The 15669-nt window shown below is 58.8% G+C and overlaps 1 protein-coding gene and 1 long non-coding RNA gene across 9 annotated transcripts in view, besides 14 other annotated features; one reads left to right on the forward strand and one right to left on the reverse strand.

Annotated features, from left to right (window-relative positions):
* BCAR1 (BCAR1 scaffold protein, Cas family member) overlaps positions 1-15669 on the reverse strand; it is a 39827-nt gene that overhangs the window by 19478 nt on the left and 4680 nt on the right. For 2 of the 8 annotated variants that reach the window (NM_014567.5, NM_001170717.3), the window contains exon 1: positions 3813-3966. The exons of 4 other annotated variants lie outside the window; for them this stretch is intronic. In NM_014567.5, coding sequence (NP_055382.2) covers positions 3813-3824 — 12 coding nt within the window. In that variant the 5' untranslated portion in view covers positions 3825-3966. Of the gene's footprint in view, positions 1-395; positions 494-3812; positions 3967-4576; positions 4741-15669 lie in introns of those variants that run through there. 2 more of the 8 variants (NM_001170720.3, NM_001170719.3) reach the window with 2 other exon arrangements.
* Positions 429-1092: an enhancer, noted in NCBI's record as "H3K27ac-H3K4me1 hESC enhancer chr16:75281985-75282648 (GRCh37/hg19 assembly coordinates)". NCBI's record gives its function as "activates a minimal SCP1, AML or CMV promoter by ChIP-STARR-seq in primed H9 embryonic stem cells {active_cell/tissue: H9 hESC(primed)}" and the evidence as "EXISTENCE:reporter gene assay evidence [ECO:0000049][PMID:30033119]".
* Positions 3849-4008: a silencer, noted in NCBI's record as "silent region_7712". NCBI's record gives its function as "represses an Ori minimal core promoter by ATAC-STARR-seq in GM12878 lymphoblastoid cells {active_cell/tissue: GM12878}" and the evidence as "EXISTENCE:reporter gene assay evidence [ECO:0000049][PMID:35858748]".
* Positions 4069-4178: a silencer, noted in NCBI's record as "silent region_7713". NCBI's record gives its function as "represses an Ori minimal core promoter by ATAC-STARR-seq in GM12878 lymphoblastoid cells {active_cell/tissue: GM12878}" and the evidence as "EXISTENCE:reporter gene assay evidence [ECO:0000049][PMID:35858748]".
* Positions 4178-4718: an enhancer, noted in NCBI's record as "H3K27ac-H3K4me1 hESC enhancer chr16:75285734-75286274 (GRCh37/hg19 assembly coordinates)". NCBI's record gives its function as "activates a minimal SCP1, AML or CMV promoter by ChIP-STARR-seq in naive H9 embryonic stem cells {active_cell/tissue: H9 hESC(naive)}" and the evidence as "EXISTENCE:reporter gene assay evidence [ECO:0000049][PMID:30033119]".
* Positions 5259-5799: an enhancer, noted in NCBI's record as "NANOG-H3K27ac-H3K4me1 hESC enhancer chr16:75286815-75287355 (GRCh37/hg19 assembly coordinates)". NCBI's record gives its function as "activates a minimal SCP1, AML or CMV promoter by ChIP-STARR-seq in naive H9 embryonic stem cells {active_cell/tissue: H9 hESC(naive)}" and the evidence as "EXISTENCE:reporter gene assay evidence [ECO:0000049][PMID:30033119]".
* Positions 5800-6339: an enhancer, noted in NCBI's record as "NANOG-H3K27ac-H3K4me1 hESC enhancer chr16:75287356-75287895 (GRCh37/hg19 assembly coordinates)". NCBI's record gives its function as "activates a minimal SCP1, AML or CMV promoter by ChIP-STARR-seq in primed H9 embryonic stem cells {active_cell/tissue: H9 hESC(primed)}" and the evidence as "EXISTENCE:reporter gene assay evidence [ECO:0000049][PMID:30033119]".
* Positions 6340-6880: an enhancer, noted in NCBI's record as "H3K27ac-H3K4me1 hESC enhancer chr16:75287896-75288436 (GRCh37/hg19 assembly coordinates)". NCBI's record gives its function as "activates a minimal SCP1, AML or CMV promoter by ChIP-STARR-seq in primed H9 embryonic stem cells {active_cell/tissue: H9 hESC(primed)}" and the evidence as "EXISTENCE:reporter gene assay evidence [ECO:0000049][PMID:30033119]".
* Positions 7420-7960: an enhancer, noted in NCBI's record as "H3K27ac-H3K4me1 hESC enhancer chr16:75288976-75289516 (GRCh37/hg19 assembly coordinates)". NCBI's record gives its function as "activates a minimal SCP1, AML or CMV promoter by ChIP-STARR-seq in naive H9 embryonic stem cells {active_cell/tissue: H9 hESC(naive)}" and the evidence as "EXISTENCE:reporter gene assay evidence [ECO:0000049][PMID:30033119]".
* Positions 7961-8500: an enhancer, noted in NCBI's record as "H3K27ac-H3K4me1 hESC enhancer chr16:75289517-75290056 (GRCh37/hg19 assembly coordinates)". NCBI's record gives its function as "activates a minimal SCP1, AML or CMV promoter by ChIP-STARR-seq in naive H9 embryonic stem cells {active_cell/tissue: H9 hESC(naive)}" and the evidence as "EXISTENCE:reporter gene assay evidence [ECO:0000049][PMID:30033119]".
* LOC105371344 (uncharacterized) lies at positions 8140-15590 on the forward strand. Its single transcript, XR_933740.3, has 3 exons — positions 8140-8575; positions 13511-13628; positions 14481-15590. It is a non-coding gene; the product is annotated as an uncharacterized LOC105371344 (long non-coding RNA).
* Positions 8493-8787: a silencer, noted in NCBI's record as "tiled region #10346; K562 Repressive DNase unmatched - State 8:EnhW". NCBI's record gives its function as "represses a minimal TATA promoter and a strong SV40 promoter by Sharpr-MPRA in K562 cells {active_cell/tissue: K562}" and the evidence as "EXISTENCE:reporter gene assay evidence [ECO:0000049][PMID:27701403]".
* Positions 8493-8787: an enhancer, noted in NCBI's record as "tiled region #10346; HepG2 Activating DNase matched - State 5:Enh". NCBI's record gives its function as "activates a minimal TATA promoter and a strong SV40 promoter by Sharpr-MPRA in HepG2 cells {active_cell/tissue: HepG2}" and the evidence as "EXISTENCE:reporter gene assay evidence [ECO:0000049][PMID:27701403]".
* Positions 8493-9041: a biological region, named in NCBI's record as "H3K27ac-H3K4me1 hESC enhancer GRCh37_chr16:75290057-75290597".
* Positions 8501-9041: an enhancer, noted in NCBI's record as "H3K27ac-H3K4me1 hESC enhancer chr16:75290057-75290597 (GRCh37/hg19 assembly coordinates)". NCBI's record gives its function as "activates a minimal SCP1, AML or CMV promoter by ChIP-STARR-seq in primed H9 embryonic stem cells {active_cell/tissue: H9 hESC(primed)}" and the evidence as "EXISTENCE:reporter gene assay evidence [ECO:0000049][PMID:30033119]".
* Positions 13341-14140: an enhancer, noted in NCBI's record as "H3K27ac-H3K4me1 hESC enhancer chr16:75294897-75295696 (GRCh37/hg19 assembly coordinates)". NCBI's record gives its function as "activates a minimal SCP1, AML or CMV promoter by ChIP-STARR-seq in primed H9 embryonic stem cells {active_cell/tissue: H9 hESC(primed)}" and the evidence as "EXISTENCE:reporter gene assay evidence [ECO:0000049][PMID:30033119]".

The raw sequence follows: 15669 nt of genomic DNA on the forward strand, positions 1-15669 counted from the left end.
CCTTCCCTGGTTGCCTGAAGGGACAACCCAGGAGTTCTCAGGAGCAGGGCCAGCCCAAACCAACTGCAGAGAACACTGCAGGTATCACTGCTGACCAAAACCCTCTCTGCCAGGCCTGGCTCATATCTGGCCTGCACCCTTTCACCCAGCAAATATGACCTCAGCACCCGCAAGCCAGCACAAGGTGGGAGCTGGGAGAAAATGGCAAGAACTCCTGTTCTCTGCCCAAGACCCCAGGGTTGGGGGCAGACAAGGAAATGGGTAATAGTGCCACACTTGTCACTAAGTTCACAATAATAAGAACAGCACAGTTCCTCCCTGCGGGAGGCAGAGCTCTTTCCCACACAGCCACCAGCTCATTTAACCCTCAAAACAACCCCATAAGACACGATTACCTCCATCTTACTAGACAGGAAAACCAAGGCTCAGAAGCTCCCTGACAGCCCAGGGTCACTGAGTCCAGAAGCAGCAGAGGCCGACCCCAGGCTGAGACACGGTGGAGCTGGGTGGCTCCACTTTATCTCCACCGAGGGGTGACGCCTGGGTTCGTGGAAACCACCAGAGGAAATGTCACAGGCCTTTCCCACCCCTCCTGTCCACGCCCCCAACGCACACATGCACCCGCCCCAGCACAGAGCCTCGCACATAGCAGGCACTTGGGAAACACTGACTTCTTTCATACCCAGAACCATCACAAACTTGGGCCAAGTTTATTTCTGGGGCATTCTATTTGCTTGTCCCAAAGAGCCTCCGTGGCCAACGGATGCAGGCCCAATAAGCATGCGCCCAACTGGCCATCCGCACCCGGGACCCACCTGGAGGGGTCCTGATCACCCCACTTGGTCCTGGCCTCAGGCTCTGAGGGGCACCTCCTCTTCCCTCCCCCATGTCCCCATCCTGGGTGGAACTCCAGGACCTGCCAGCCTTAGTGGCAACTTCCCCTAATACTCCCACAACAACAGGGTGGCCAGGGTCTGGGCTCAAGTCCTGGGTGCCCGGGTGGCAGGCAGCAAGGGTGTGAGCAGACTACATAGCCTGTGCACGGGGCCCACGTTCCAGAGCCACCCCAGGGGAGCATGGCTCCTATCCTGCCAGCCTTAGGAGGGCGTGAATCGTCGGAGAGGATGAGGCCGGGAAGGCGTGCAGGCCCTCAGCCCCACGCGTGACACTCAGCAGCAGGAGGGAATAAAAAGCCACCTGTGGGGTGGCCACTGCCAAGGGCTCCCCGACACAAGCACAGAGCACAGCCTGGCCTTGGCTGCAGCACCACAGCAGATGCCTTTATGCCCAGGGCCAGCTATGGGCTGAAAGCACACCCCAGTCCTCACTCCAGCCAGGGCATCCCAGGCACTGTCCCTAAGAGGCTGGGCAGAGGAGGTGGCATGGGGAGGGCTCTCCTGCTTCAGGACATGGAACCTGCAACCCAAAACACCCCACAGACAGTGCGGACGGCTGGCAGGCCCCAGGCCTATACCCCTGCAGGCAGGATCAGCGGTGTTCACTCAAGCGGACCTGCTGGAGCTCATGCTTGTGATCCGGGGTTTTGGCAGAGAGCTCGGTGTGAGGCTGACCCCTGACTTCAGGGACAGCACCAGGCCCAGAATAGGGGTAGCCCCCACCTCCAACCCCAACTGTGTCATCAAGGAGGCTAGACCCACCCCTCCACCCTACTTCTGCCCCAGGCTAGAATGTAGAGGTGGGAGGAAGTCAGGGAAGCAAGACACAGGTGGAGCCAGGGCCTCTCCTGTGCTCGGAGGGCCAGGAAGGGCCTGACAGAGGGCAGAGCCCCACCCTCTTACACGGAGACCACCCTGCAGCCCTTTATCTGGGGGCCAAGGAAGAGGCTTGCCCAGTGTCTTTGCTGGAGAAACTTCCCTATCACCCAATCCCACTCCCCACACTTCACCTCTGACTCCAAAACTGCCTCCTCTTAGAAGCCCCCCTGGAGCGCACCTCCCCTGCTGGTTGGTTCTAGCTGACCAGTTGGTTTAGCCGGCTGTGGGCTCCTGGGGGCAAGGGAAGGAGTTGTCCAGGCTCAGAAGAAAAGGGTGGTAGGACCTCCTAAAGGGACAGCAGATGCCAGGAGAGGGCCGCAAAGGCACAGCGTTGGAACCAGAGGGTTCCTACCAAGTTGACAACTCCAAAAGAGCATGGTGGTCCCCCAAGGACCAGAGCTCCCCCAATCCCAGACTGGGAATTCGGAGGCCACATGTGGTGCTGCACTGGGGGGCCATGCCAGAAGACGAGGTTCTGGATCCAATTCTGAGGACAACTGACTGTCTCTCTGTACCTCAGTGTCCCCATCTGCACCATCCGTATAATGGGAAAGGGGTTTGAGGAGCTGTCTCAGGGCCCCTCCTGTACAGACAGGAGGCCCTAGTGGCACTGTCCTTATTTCCATCCCTCGCCTAGACCTGGGGCCATGGTACCAGTACACAGTGCTCACCCTCCTGCTCAGACAAACAGTAACGGCCAGAAGCTCCAAGCCTCCTGCCCCAGCCCAAGGTGACTTTCCTGGCAGAACCTGGGACTGCCCTGCCCTGCCCTGCCTCCACCCAGCTCCCGGGCAAGCAGTGCCAGGAGGAAGTGTCAGCAGCTCCTCCCCAAAGCTCTTTTCCCCACAGCCCCGCCACCCCCGTACCTGGGCCCCGATTCTCCAGGCACCCCGACACCTGCTCTCACAGGCCGGCCAGCCCCCACCACCCAACTCTCCACCGAGGGAAAGGAATGGGCACAAGAGGGGGCGTGTCCCGGCCCAGGGCGATGGGAAACATCTCACTAGCAAAGAAGAGATCAACCCATGGTCATTCTGAGAAGGTGACCAAAGCTGCGGCGGGCCCCGGGAGGGGTGTGGGAAAGGAAACCAGGGACTCTCAGGAGGGAACGGGAGCCTTGTGGTAGAAAAGGAGCTGCTGTCCCCGATCTGGAACTCGAAACCCCAACATCTTCCAGGCCGTAAGCCCCTCACCCCGCACCCCTAGGCAAATCTCCGCTTTCCCAACTCCCTCACCTCGGTCCAGCGATCAGCCTCTCGGACCCTCGAGAGGGAGCTCCGACCCTGCTCTAGCTCTTGCGGGTCCCCCAACCATGGACTCCAAAGCCTTCATGTCCACACTGCAGAACCCGGCCCTGGCCCCCTCCCGCGACACTCGCGTGCGGCTAGGACTCCTGTGGCCAGGACCCGGCTTCCACCGGCGCTCGGCGTGCGGGGCTGCAAAGCCCGCGGCGCGCCCGCCCCCACTCCCGCTCCGCTCCCGGAACCCCGCGCCGGCGGCCGGAGTGAATCATTAACTGGAGCCGGGTGCTCCGGCTGCGCAGCCTTCCCCGCTGGCGCCACGCACTTGCCCGCCCGGCCTCGGTCCCCCGGAGCTCCTCCCTCTCCGGGAGCCGGTGGGCAGTCCCCACGCCACACCAGCCGGACCACCCGCCAGAGGCTCAACGGCCCCTCCTCGCAGCCGAGGAAACTGAGGCTCGGAGGCAGGGCGCAGAGGCCCAAGGTGACACAGCAGGCGGCCGTCGGCCGGGGAGCGCGGGCCCCGCCAGCCACTTTCCCGACACAGGAACCCTCCTACCGGCTGGCGGCCCCCGCGCCCGGCCCCGCCAACGCACCCGAGGCGCACAGGCTCCGGAGCCCCCGCGGTTCCTGCCTCCCGGCTTCCCGGCCAGGGCAGAAGGAGATCCCAGGGCCGCGGACCCCGGCCGGCGGTTCCCAGGCCCCGCAGGTCCGGCAGGAAATGCCGCTCGCTTAACCCCTTCCAGCCCGCTGCCGCCTCCAAGCCCGTACGCGGCCCGGCCCCACCTGGCGCCCTCACCAGGTGGTTCATGGTGTCCGGCGGGCCTGGGGCCCCGGCTCTCGCGGGGGCGCACACCGAGCTGCCCGGGCCGCGTGCCCTCGGGGCTCCGAGCGCGCCGCAGCCGCCCCGGTGCCGCCGCGCAGCTGCCGCCTCGGCCACCCAGAGCCGGTCCAGCCGCTCTCCGCCTGCCGCCACGGCCCAGCCGGCCCAGCCCGATCCCAGCATGCCCGGCCGCGCGCGCCCATTGGCCGCCGCCGCTCTCCATGCAAATAAGCCGCCTGTCGGGGGCGCGGGCGCGCAGACAGAAGCCCGCCCAGTAGGGGCCGCCCCCCGCCCCGCCCCCCACCTCCAACCCCGAGGCTCCAGGCCCCTGCCCGAGGCCAGGCTTCCAGCCTAGGGCGCAGGACACCGCTCTCCAACAAATGCACGTCCCCGCCTTCCACCCAGGCGAGAACGCACCGAAGGCCTACGCAAACTCCTCCACTTCTGGGAAGGCTGCCCGGTTTGCCTTCTTCCTCCAGAGCCGAGACATGGCCTCAAGTCGACTTGTCTTTCCCGCTAACCAACCCCAGGGCATTCATCGCGTGTCCATGGGCCGTGGGACTCAAATCTGAATCTAGAGGGAAAGGGGAGGGGGCGTGCCCCAGCCTGTAGGAGACGAATCATCACCACCACAGCTCCGACTGTAGACGGTCCCACCGTGTAAGGACCCCAGGAAATGAAGCCTCAAGCAGGGAGGCTGGCGAGCTCTCGACCCAGCGCTTTTCACGGGCAGCACCTACCTTCCCCTGCATTGTGCCGACATCTGGGGACTCGGGCTGGTCCTCCAGCTGATCTGCCTCCTCTCATTACTCATTCCTAGGTTCAGCCTAAAACCTGGGCCTAGTACCCTCCTGAGTCCTGCTCCAACTCATCTGCTTCAGCGACATGGGGTAGGAGAGCGGCACTGGGGGAATGAGGGAGATAGAAGGAAGAATCACTCGGGGGAAACCGAGTGGAGACAACCTTGGCTCTCCTGAGTTGCCCCTTGCTCGGTTGCAGGTCAGTGACTGTCACCCCATGCAGCAGAACCAGGGTGCCAGAGCCCCTGGGCCAGGCCAGGGAGGCACAATCTGCAGGGAGATGATAGGACCGAGCCTGGTCCAGACCAGACAGGACCCTCAGTCAACAATCCTGGGCCACTGGCTGAGCAATGGGATGCCACGAGGCAGCCCTGGTGGCAGGGAAGCAGCGGGGTAGACCCGGCTTCACGCAGCAGAGAATTCTCAAGCATGGCCTATGGAAGACACAAGCCCAGGTGGGCCTGCAGCTGCCCCTCTGTCTGACCCCCAGGGCTCAGCCTACGCAGCGCCTGGCCAGATGTGCCACCTTGGCAGGCCCTCTCCCCTCTCTGGGCTCCTTTCTCATCTGAAAAGGGGCTAGGACAGCCCATGATTTGCTGCTCAGGTGCTCTGGGGAGCTAGTTAAAAAACAGACTCCTGTGTCCCACCCCTCCCAAAAAACTGGACGTCTGCATTTCTTCAATATTTGGCTTGGGAAGCATTGGCCAGAACTCACAGCACAGCGGGTGAGGAAGGAGCAGTGGGATGAGACAGAGCATGACCCAGAGTCCTCAGGAGGAACAGAACAGCTAGCCAACACCCTGTGCCTCCCCGACACAGCCCGCCTCGCCTCAGAAGAGGAGCCAGCCTTCAGGGAAGCTGCCTGGAGCATCTCCTCCTGCTTGTTCCCAAGAGCTGTGCCGGGCCCCTCCTGCACCCTGACCCTGTCCAGCCACCCACTCCTCAGCCTGGCTGGCACACCAGCTTCCCAGAGAGCAGGTCTGAACCAGCGGGACCCTCAGGAGCCTGAGGTCATCCCTGGGCCTCCACTTCTGTGGGGAGGGGAGACCAGGCCTCATGGGCAGGCAGTGCCCTGCTGGCAGGGCCCCAGGCAGCAGTCTCTGCAGGGACGGGCAAGGACACAAAAGGCCTGGCCCTCAAGGGAGCTGGCCCCTGCTCCATCCTAGTTGGCCAAGGAGGGCGGTGCAGAGAGGAGGTGGATGGCTGGAACCTTGGGGGATGAGACCCTCCTCCCCCAGTAGCTGCATTAGAACAGCACTGGGGGTGGGGCTGCTGGTGTGAGCAGGAGGCAGCAAGGGAAACAGGCTCCGACACAGGCATTTCAAAAATTTGCTCCTTTTCCACTTAAATTCCCTCCCCCAAAAGCCTGTGCCTCCCAGAATGGCATTTCCGCTTTGGAAACAAGGCCCCAGAAGTTAAGCCCCACAGTGTTGATGGGGATGTAGCTGGGGGGTGGGGGAGGAGCACCCACTGGCCAGGCTCTGGCCGGGGTATATGGGGGCAGAACCTCACCCCACCCCCAGTCCAGCCTCCCGGACCTCCGCTGTCAAGGACAGGGATGCAGCCCCACATACCCAGCACAGCCTCTGCGCCCAGCCAGTGCCAGGGGCCCTATGCCCATGCATTTATTTTGTGCACACAGCAATCCTGCAAAACAGGCTCACCGTTAGCCCCAATTTTTTTTTTTTTTGAGATGGGGTTTCACCATATTGGTCAGGCTGGTCTCGAACTCCTGACCTCAAGTGATTCACCCACCTCAGCCTCCCAAAGTGCTGGGATTATAGGCGTGAGCCACTGCACCCAGCCTAGCCCCATTTTTCACATGAAGAGACCGAGACCCAGTTTACCAACCACTGCCCCATCCCACACATTTCGGGGCACAGAAGGGACAGGGCCAGGGAAGAAATGGGGCTGCTAGACCTCAGCCCACCCTGCAGCAGGAAGGGAATCTAGGGACAGGGACAGCAGCACTCCAGGCTCAGAAAGCCAAACACCCCTGTCACACTCAGACTGCAAAAGGACAGGCAACTGAGACCTAAGCACCTTCCTCCCCAGTAAAACTGAGCTCAGCACTGGGGCCAGCACCACCCCCACCCCACTAAGTTTAGCCCCATTGGTGAGAAGGGGTGCAGTAAACATTTGTTGACTGGGTGGGACCTCAGAGGTGGCCCTCATGGGATAGGCTGGCCTGGGTGAAGAAATCTGAGGCTGCCCCAGTCTGGAGGATGGGGGTGGTTAAGTCACGCCTAAGTGCAGAGGCACACACTTGCATACACACAGCACACACGCATGCGTATACACACAGTGGGACTGGCAGCAAGGAGAGACGCCCTGAATAAGGAGGAGCTGGGAGAGGTTGTTGCCAGACCAAGGGAGACAGCTGCAGATATGTGGCCGGGGCACCAGCACAGGGCCCTCCCAGACAGTTGTGTCATCCCAGGAGTGGCCTGGCACCTCCAGCCAGGTTGAAGATGAGCTCACAGGCTGGAAGGGATGTCTCCAACCCCTCAGGGCCTGGAATAGCTGTTTGTACAGAAAACAGGTGGACCCAGCACACCAGGACACTAAGTGTCTGGAGTGGAGGGGGTTATACTGGACCCAAGTGGAAAGATAAGCCTGGGATAGGGTTCCTGCTCTTTGGGCTTTCTGAGATCTGCCTTCAGGACAGACCCACTGCACAGAACTTTTCTTGCTCAATGCTCACCAATGTCCACTGCAGCATTTATGACAGCAAAGCATGGAGCAAAACAGGCTCACCTATCAATGCTAATTCTAGGGGACCGGTGAGACAAACCACAGCGCCTCAGTAGAATAGCTTGCAGCTATTAGATGGCCTCTTCCAAAGACTGAAATAATGCAAGAAAATGCTTACAACAAACTAAAGTGAAAAGAGCAGGCTAAAACCAGTTTGCACAGTGTAAAGGCACACAGCCCCCTCCCCTCCTGAAGCCTCGGCCTCCCAGCAGCAGGGAGGGTGGACTCGGTTGATGGCCAGCTCTGGGAGCGGCAGCAGGAGAGGATTTCCTGAGGCCGGAGGTGAGCACTGCCAGCCCCAGGAACAGGAAGAAACGGTATCTCTGGAGGGCCAATGAGAGCTGACACCATCCCCCTAGGCTGGACACTCACAGTGGCAAGCTCAAAACCAAGGCAAGGCTGGGCAAGGTGGCTCACGCCTGTAATCTCAGCACTTTAGGAGGTCGAGACTAGCCTGTCCAACATGGCGAAACTCCGTCTCTACTAAAAATACAAAAATTAGCTGGCCGTGGTGGCGGGCACCTGTAATCCCAGCTACTCAGGAGGCTGAGGCAGGATAATTGCTTGAACCAGGAGGTGAAGCAGTGAGCTGAGATCACGCCACTGTACTCCAGCCTGGGCGATAGAGCAAGGCTCCATCTCAAAAAAAAAAACAAAAAACAGCTGGGCACAGTGGCTCACGCCTGTAATCCCAGCACTTTGGGAGGCCAAGGCGGGCAGATCATCTGAGGTCAAGAGTTCAAGACCAGCCTGACCAACATGGTGAAACCCCGTCTCTACTAAAAATACAAAATTAGCCGGGCGTGGTGGCACATGCCTGTAATCCCAGCTACTCAGGAGGCTGAGGCTGGAGAATCACTTGAACCCGGGAGGCGGAGGTTGCAGTGAGCCAAGATGGTGCCATTGCACTCCAGCCTGGGCGAGAGAGCGAAACTACGTCTCAAAAAAACAAAAACAAAACCCAGGCGAGGGCACGGAACCTTTGTGGATAGCACGGAGGTGAACCTACTGTCACACACAGAACGGACAGCCCACACCCCAACACCAGTCATTCCTCACTGCTGCCCTGGGACCAGGACGGAACGACGGCTACCTGGAGGCAGAGAGAGGGGCAATGCCCCACGCAGCTCCCATGGCCAGCAGAGCTCGCACCTTCCACCTCATAACCCAGGCGTGTGCCTACTGGTAAGCACCCCAGGTGACCCCAGACCGCAGAGCATGCACTCAGGACTCAAGCTGGAGCTGTTACCATAAAGGGCTTCCCATCCTCCACTGCGGGGCAGTGTTTGTCATTACCAGTAGTGGCTCTGACTGTGGGAAGGTGGGCGGGCCCTATAGCCTGAAGCCAAATCCCTCCAGTGGTCATCCCCTTTGGCATGCCCAAGGCCAGTCCCCAGAGACCCGGGGGCAGGGGCAGTATCCAAGGTGTGTGGGCAGAGCTGCCAGGTAAGGGACACAGCACGGATGGGGGGGGGTGGGGCCTCCCTGCACTCCAAGTCCTGGCCTGCATCCCACTAAATCCAGCCCTACGCCTCCACTTCAGGCCTGTCAGAAACAGGACTGGAAGAGGCAGCACAACTTTCCAAATTATCTGGAAATTAACAAGCAGCAGAGGCCCCTGCCGTAGGTGCCTGCCTCAGAGAGGGGCTCAGCTCACAGCCGCCCGAGGCCGGTGTGAGCCAGCAAGGCAGCCCCAGGGTGCCGTTCAGAGGCTCTCCGCCCACCCCAGCAACCCCTTCCTCTTCTGCACCCTCCTCTCTCAGCTCTCCCCTCCTGCCCAGCCTCCTGGGGCTGGCAGGTGGGGCAGGCACCAGCACAGGGCCCTCCCAGACAGGTCCTCCTGGACCAGCGGCACCCCTGTGTGCAGTGAGGAGGGGCCATGTGCACTCTGCCCCGCTGCTGACCACCAGGTCCTCCTCCTGAATCTGCGCCCTATGGCAGAGGCAGCCCCTCAGCACTGCCTGGGGGAGGGGGAAGAGAGGGGCTCAGTCCTGGCTGGAAGGGGGAAAGAGGGGCAAAGGGGCAAGCTCTGTCCTCGTCCTCAGAGAGGAAGCTCCATGGCTGGGGGCTGCCCAGCTCTCCACTGACTGGCCGGGTGGGCAGGGATGAGGGTGTGGTCAGGAGGCCTCCCCAGCCCAACCCAGCCCAGCCATCTGCTCTCCCATGGCAACCAACCCCAGTGTACTGGGCGGAGGGGGGTGACTTCACACATCATCTGCTGCCCACTCCCGGCCGCTTTCATAGAACACAGGGGCCCACACTCACAGATACCCACCCGGCCACTCTGCTGGGGTCAGCAGGCCAGGGGCCAGTGGAATCACAAGAGGGGACCCTGGGGGCTCTGGGTGGCAGTGACGGAAAGAGTGGATACAGGGAAGACAGAGCTGTGGCAGCCACAGGGAAAGCAATGCTTTTTTTTCTTTTTTTAAAGACAAGGTCTCTGTCACCGAGGCTGGAGTGCAGTGGCACAGTCACAGCTCACTGCAGCCTCAACCTCCTGGGCTCAAACGATCCTCCCACCTCAGCCTCTTGACTAGCTGGGTCTACAGGTGTGCACCGCCATGCCTGGCTAATTTTTTTATTTTTTGTAGAAATGGGGTTTCACTATATTGCCCAGGCTCGTCTCCAACTCCTGGGGGCTCAAGCGATCCTCCCGCCTTGACTTCCCAAAGTGCTGGGATTATAAGCGTAAGCCACTGTGCCTGGTGGAAAAGCAATGCTTTTTCTCCCTCCTTGGACAGCATCGTGGGGCTAGGCTGGGTGTCCCACTGGAGCCTATGCCGGCCTATAGATAAAGGCTCCTCTGCCCTGGGAGACCCAGGCTCAGGCTCTCGCCCAGGCTTAGACTAGAGGAAGGGAGCAGATATTAATGACTCCAACTCGCCGTGGGCCTTCAGCCAGTCACTGTACTGCTCAGGTTTCAGTTTGCCCATCTGTTAAATGTACCCATGACCAGCAGCCCTGCCCACCCTGGGGCCATCAGACTGATGGCACAGGTGGCCGGCAAACACACAGCGGCACCCTAGTGTCCCACTGCCCGCAGCATACCCACACCCTGCGCCATCACACACTGGCCCCACCCCGCTGGGCACCAGGGCGCACCTTCCCTTGGCCTACCCCATGTGCTAAGCCCATCCCGCAACCAAGCCCTCCCTGCTCTCCCTACAGCCTGCGTAGACACCGCTCCTCAGATGCCCTCAGCATCCCTCACCTTCCCTGAAACCTTGTCTGAGAGACTGGGGCAAAATCTTTCCTTGGAGTTCTGCTGCCCCCAGATCCACCCGCCAACACTGGAGGCAGGCAGGGTCTCCTCTTGGACTGCCCTGAGGCAAGTAGGAAGTGGCTGGTTGCAGTCACTTTCACTATGCATGTTATAAAGCAACACTCATGCATCTGCGCCTCCTGACTGAGGTCTAACTGTTGGCAGCACTGCTGTGTAAAAGAACAGCCGTGTCCTCAGGGAACTCACACTCCAAGGTGTGTGTTAAGGGGCACAAACGTAAACGCTTGCAAAGCAGACAGCAGAGGGATGGGGGAGGCTGTTCTACACAAGGTGCTTGGGGGCTTCTCTGCGGAGGTGACATTTGAGCAGATGTGTGAATCTTTTGCTAAGACTCATTATGCAGAAAAAAATAACAGCAAAGATTTGTAAAAATAGCACAGGCAAGCCAACTCCTTCGGCGTGAAGAGCCAGTGTGGCCGCAGGAGCACACAGAAGAAACCCAGATGCTGGGGCCAGGGACGCAGGGAGTCTCCCTCTACCCTCCTCAGGCTTGGCTCAGTGGTGTGTGCCTCCTGGGCTTAGGGCTTCCAGCGCTGGGGCAGGCGCAGCAAGGAGTGTCTGCCTGGAGGGGTGCCTTGGCAGATGGCCAGGGAAAAAAAGAGGGAGCCCAGGAATCTGCGTGGCCTGGGAAGGAGGAGGAGGAGGGACGCAGGTAGCTTCTGCTGCATCCTCTCCCGCCTCCTGCTCTCCTTAGAAACCTCCCAACCAGGACTTCTGGAGTGGTCACAGGCCCTGGCGAAACACAGATGACTCTACAGCCTAAGACACTTAACCTCCCAGATAACCTGCAAAGAGGCAGTTTAAACTCTAGGACACCTGGTGAGGTCTGGGACAGGGAGGAGTGTGGTCATACCACTTTCTGGGCAAACAAGCAACTTTGGTAGATCCAGGATTTGGGAGCACAGATCTCTAGGCATGCCTCAAGGCATACAATTGGATATCAGGTTTTATAAAATACTTAAATGGGTATTTTGCCAACAATAGTGCCAGTGTTCCGCTACTTAATAACACACAGCACAAGCTGGCTTCAGTGGCTCATGCCTATAGTCCCAGCTACTGGGGAGGCTGAGGCAGGAGGATCGTTTAAGTCTAGGAGGCCAGGTTGGGTAACACAGCAAGACTCAGACTCAGACACAGCACACTAAAGGTAGAGACAGATATCCATCCACAAGGAATGGATAAATATCTTGTGGCACATCCATTACTGGAACATTACTCAGCAACAAAAAAGAATAAACTGGCCGGGCGCGGTGGCTCACACCTGTAATCCTAGCCCTTTGGGAGGCGAAAGCGGGCGGATCACGAGGTCAGGAGATTGAGACCATCCTGGCTAACACGGTGAAACCCCATCTCTACTAAAAACACAAAAAATTAGCCGGGCATGGTGGCAGGCGCCTGTAATCCCAGCTATTTGGGAGGCTGAGGCAGGAGAATCGCTTGAACCTAGGAGGTGGAGGTTGCAGTGAGCCAAGATCATGCCACTGCACTACAGCTTGGGTGACAGAATGAGACTCCATCTAAAAAAAAAAAAAAAAAAAAAAAGAATAAAACCAATATGCTCGAGGAATAAAGCCAGACCTGGCCTGGCTCAGTGGCCCACGCCTGTAATCCTGGCACTTTGGGAGGCCAAGGCGGGTGGATCACCTGAGGTCAGGAGTTCGAAACCAGTCTGGCCAACATGGTGAAACCCTGTCTCTACTAAAAGTACAAAAATTAGCTGGGAATAGTGGTGGGCACCTATAATCCCAGCTGTTTGGGAGACTGAGGCAGGAGAATCACTTGACCCTGGGAGGAAGAGGTTGCAGTGAGCCGAGATCCTGTCACTGCACTCCAGCCTGGGTGACAGAGCGAGATTCCATCTCAGAAAAAAAGGAAAAAGCCAGACCCCAAAGTGCATCTACTGTAGGCTTCCAGTTGCAGAAAGTTTAAGAACAGGCAAACTTAAGCCAGGGTGATAGAGACATTTGTTATTTTGATTCGATTGATGGCTACATGAAGGTCTGTATTAATCAAAACTCATCCAACTGCCAGGCGCGGTGGCTCATGCCTGTAATCCCAGCACTTCAGGAGGCGGAGGCAGACGGATGAGGTCAGGCGTTCGAGACCAGCCTGGCCAACATGGTGAAACCGTGTCTCTACTAAAAATACAAAAATTAGCTGGACATGGTGGCACATGCCTGTAATCCCAGCTACTTGGGAGGCTGAGGCAAGAGAATCACTTGAACCCGGGAGACAAAGGTTGCAGTGAGCTGATATCAGGCCACTGCACTCCAGCCTGGGTGACAGAGTGAGACTCCATCTCAAAAAAAAAAAAAAAAACCTCATCCAACTAACTGTTTAACATCTGCACATTTCACGACATGTAAAATTTACCTCAATAAGAGTTTCGACTGGTAAAAAATAAAACAAAGCAAAGAAAAAATACATTTGGCATTACAAATACCAAAAATAGATACTGCAAGCCTAAACCCACCATGCTACTCTTTTTGCCCTGACCATCAGGGAGCTTCAAGTTAAATTTGGATGCCTACTGAGCCTCGGCTTTCTGGGATAATTCTTCCTCCTTCCCCATACATTACATAATTCCAGATCTTTTCATGATCCCAGACTATTTGTGTCTTCTGCCATAATCTGCTTCAAATCCTTCTTGGAATTTGGTAGGGCTTAAATAATAAATTAAAATGACTGAAAAACCTTCCCAGCCTCTAATCCCCCTTGGAGAAGAGATTAACTTCAGAGCCGCGACTTGTGACCATCTCACCAGAGCAAGCATCCCTTCCACACTTCTGCCGAGGTCCCCAACCTGTCCCCAGAACTCTTTTTCCTTTTTCCTGCAGAGAGGGAGACAATGGCCCAGCACACAAGGACTGAGAGTGAGCCATAGAAACAATGGGGCTTGACCTGGAGGACACACGCAGGGCTGCAGCAAAGCCAAGGCCAAGGCCAGGGGTGAAGGTAAGCAGACAGAGGGAAGGTGGTGTGGGCCCCAGAACACCAGGGCACCAGTGGTAGGAAATGGGGAGGTCTGCAGGTATCACCCAGGCCCCCCACTCACCCTCCTGGCTGTAGGCCCCTCCCTTAAGGAGCCATGATCCCCAGGCAGGGGTGGAACCAGCCTCCCTCAGAGGCCCTGCCTGCCCCGTGCTGGCCCGACTGCTGCAGACCACACCTGAGCAGAGGCCTGCACCACTGCAGCGGCTCCCACGGCCTGCAATGCCGCCTCATTCCTGGGGGCACTTGGAGCAGGGCAGCAGCTGCATAGATGCGATGGGGCCAGCTGGTTGCCCCAATGCAGGTCACTCTCTGGTTGGAGTGAAGACAAGGACCTGACCATCCAAGGCTCAAGAGGCCAGGGTCCTGCAGGCCATGCCCGGGCAGGGGAGAGGCCAGGGTCATCCCACCACCAAGGCCTTGGCAGAAACCACACTGACCATAAAGAAAGGGCCACAGAACCCTAGGGGCAGAGGCCAATCAGCCTGGGTCCAGCCCAGCCTCCTCCCCACGCTGGCTGCCCAGGAGTCAGGAATGGGTCTGAGCCACTGCACTAGCCAACCATGGCCACATGAAGACAATAATCTCCACAGCAGTAGCTGCTGTTACTTAATCACCCTCCTTCTAACAGCTCTGGTCACCCCTCACCAAATTCTCACAAAATCCCAGGAGCTCTGTGCTCTTAACATCCCCATGACACAGAGGAGGAAACTGAGGCTCAGGGAGGTTCAGTAACTCACTCAAGGCACAGAGCCAACACTGTTCACTCTAGAGCCCTTGACCTTGACCCACCAAAACACTCTCCCCACCCCGCAGCAGCCTCTCCAGGAACCCCTTTCAGCCTCAAGCAAGGCTCTGAGGAGAGTGGCTGAGATCCCAGGCTCTGCACGGGGATACAGCCACTGGCCTGTGGGGGCTCCACGGTACTCCTGGGGCCACATACTCAGCAGGCGGCCAGGGGCAAGCTGCAGCCAGAAGGCACGAGAGACAGCGGGGCAAGCAGTCATGGGTTCTGCAGTGTGAAGAGGGAGCCTGACACAACCACATCACCCCACCAACAAATGGACAATGGCAGACGGCGCCGGGAAGGCTTCCTATGGATGATGGCGCAGAGCTTGAGGTGAATGGGAATGACCTGGTGAACGAGGCAGCTGGCTGGAGATCACTTCCTACAGAGGGAGGGACAGGCTGAGCCAAGGCCCAGCGGCAGAAGAGGGTGCGGCAGGGGCAGTGGGGCCTGAGCTGCGGACTTTGAACCTGGACACTGCCTCATCCCACTCTCTCTGTCCACTGCCTGGCTGCCAGGCCAGCTATGAACCCCAGGGCAGGCCTCATGGCTCCTTGGGCAGCTCCCCCACTCACACCACTGCCTGGCACAGAGCCAGTTCCAGGATTGCTGGCCAAGGTTTCAACCAGATGCTAAGGCTGGTCTACTCATCTCCATCTACCACTGCTGGGGCTGGCTGGGGCTAGACCCACCCTGCTGCACAGCCTTGGGTGCTACCTGCTCTGAGCCCAGGGTGCTTTGCCTCCCAGGGACGCAGAAGAGGTGACACAAACTCATCTTCGGGAAGCCACAGGTAGAGGGCTGGCTGCTGTCCACCGCTCAACAGGCTGCAGCCCCCACAAGTAGAGGCCATGCAGGACGATGCTTATTTTATGGCTTTGGATCCTGCCATATCTGGCTCCCACCCTGGCTCCACCTCTCACTGGCCAGGTGACCCTGGCAAGACACAGGCCCTCTGTGGGCCTGTGAGGTCCTGAGCCCAGTGCCCAGCACACAGGGCGGCATCCCTGAAAGGAGCCATCCCTCAACGAAGGGGCACAGGAGGAGCTGGAGTGGCCACACTCACTTCACAGATGGGAAGCAAGAAGCAGAACAGACAGCAGGGAGGCCTCTCTGCAGCTGGAAGCTGGCCTCTTACCTGGCAGGGCTGGGGGTGGCCAGCACCTGCCACCCCTAAACATGGACTCCCAAGCCAATGCCAGCCAGAGGTCTGAGGTG

This window comes from Homo sapiens, chromosome 16 (genome assembly GCF_000001405.40).
Source record: "Homo sapiens chromosome 16, GRCh38.p14 Primary Assembly".
Taxonomy (NCBI): domain Eukaryota; kingdom Metazoa; phylum Chordata; class Mammalia; order Primates; family Hominidae; genus Homo; species Homo sapiens.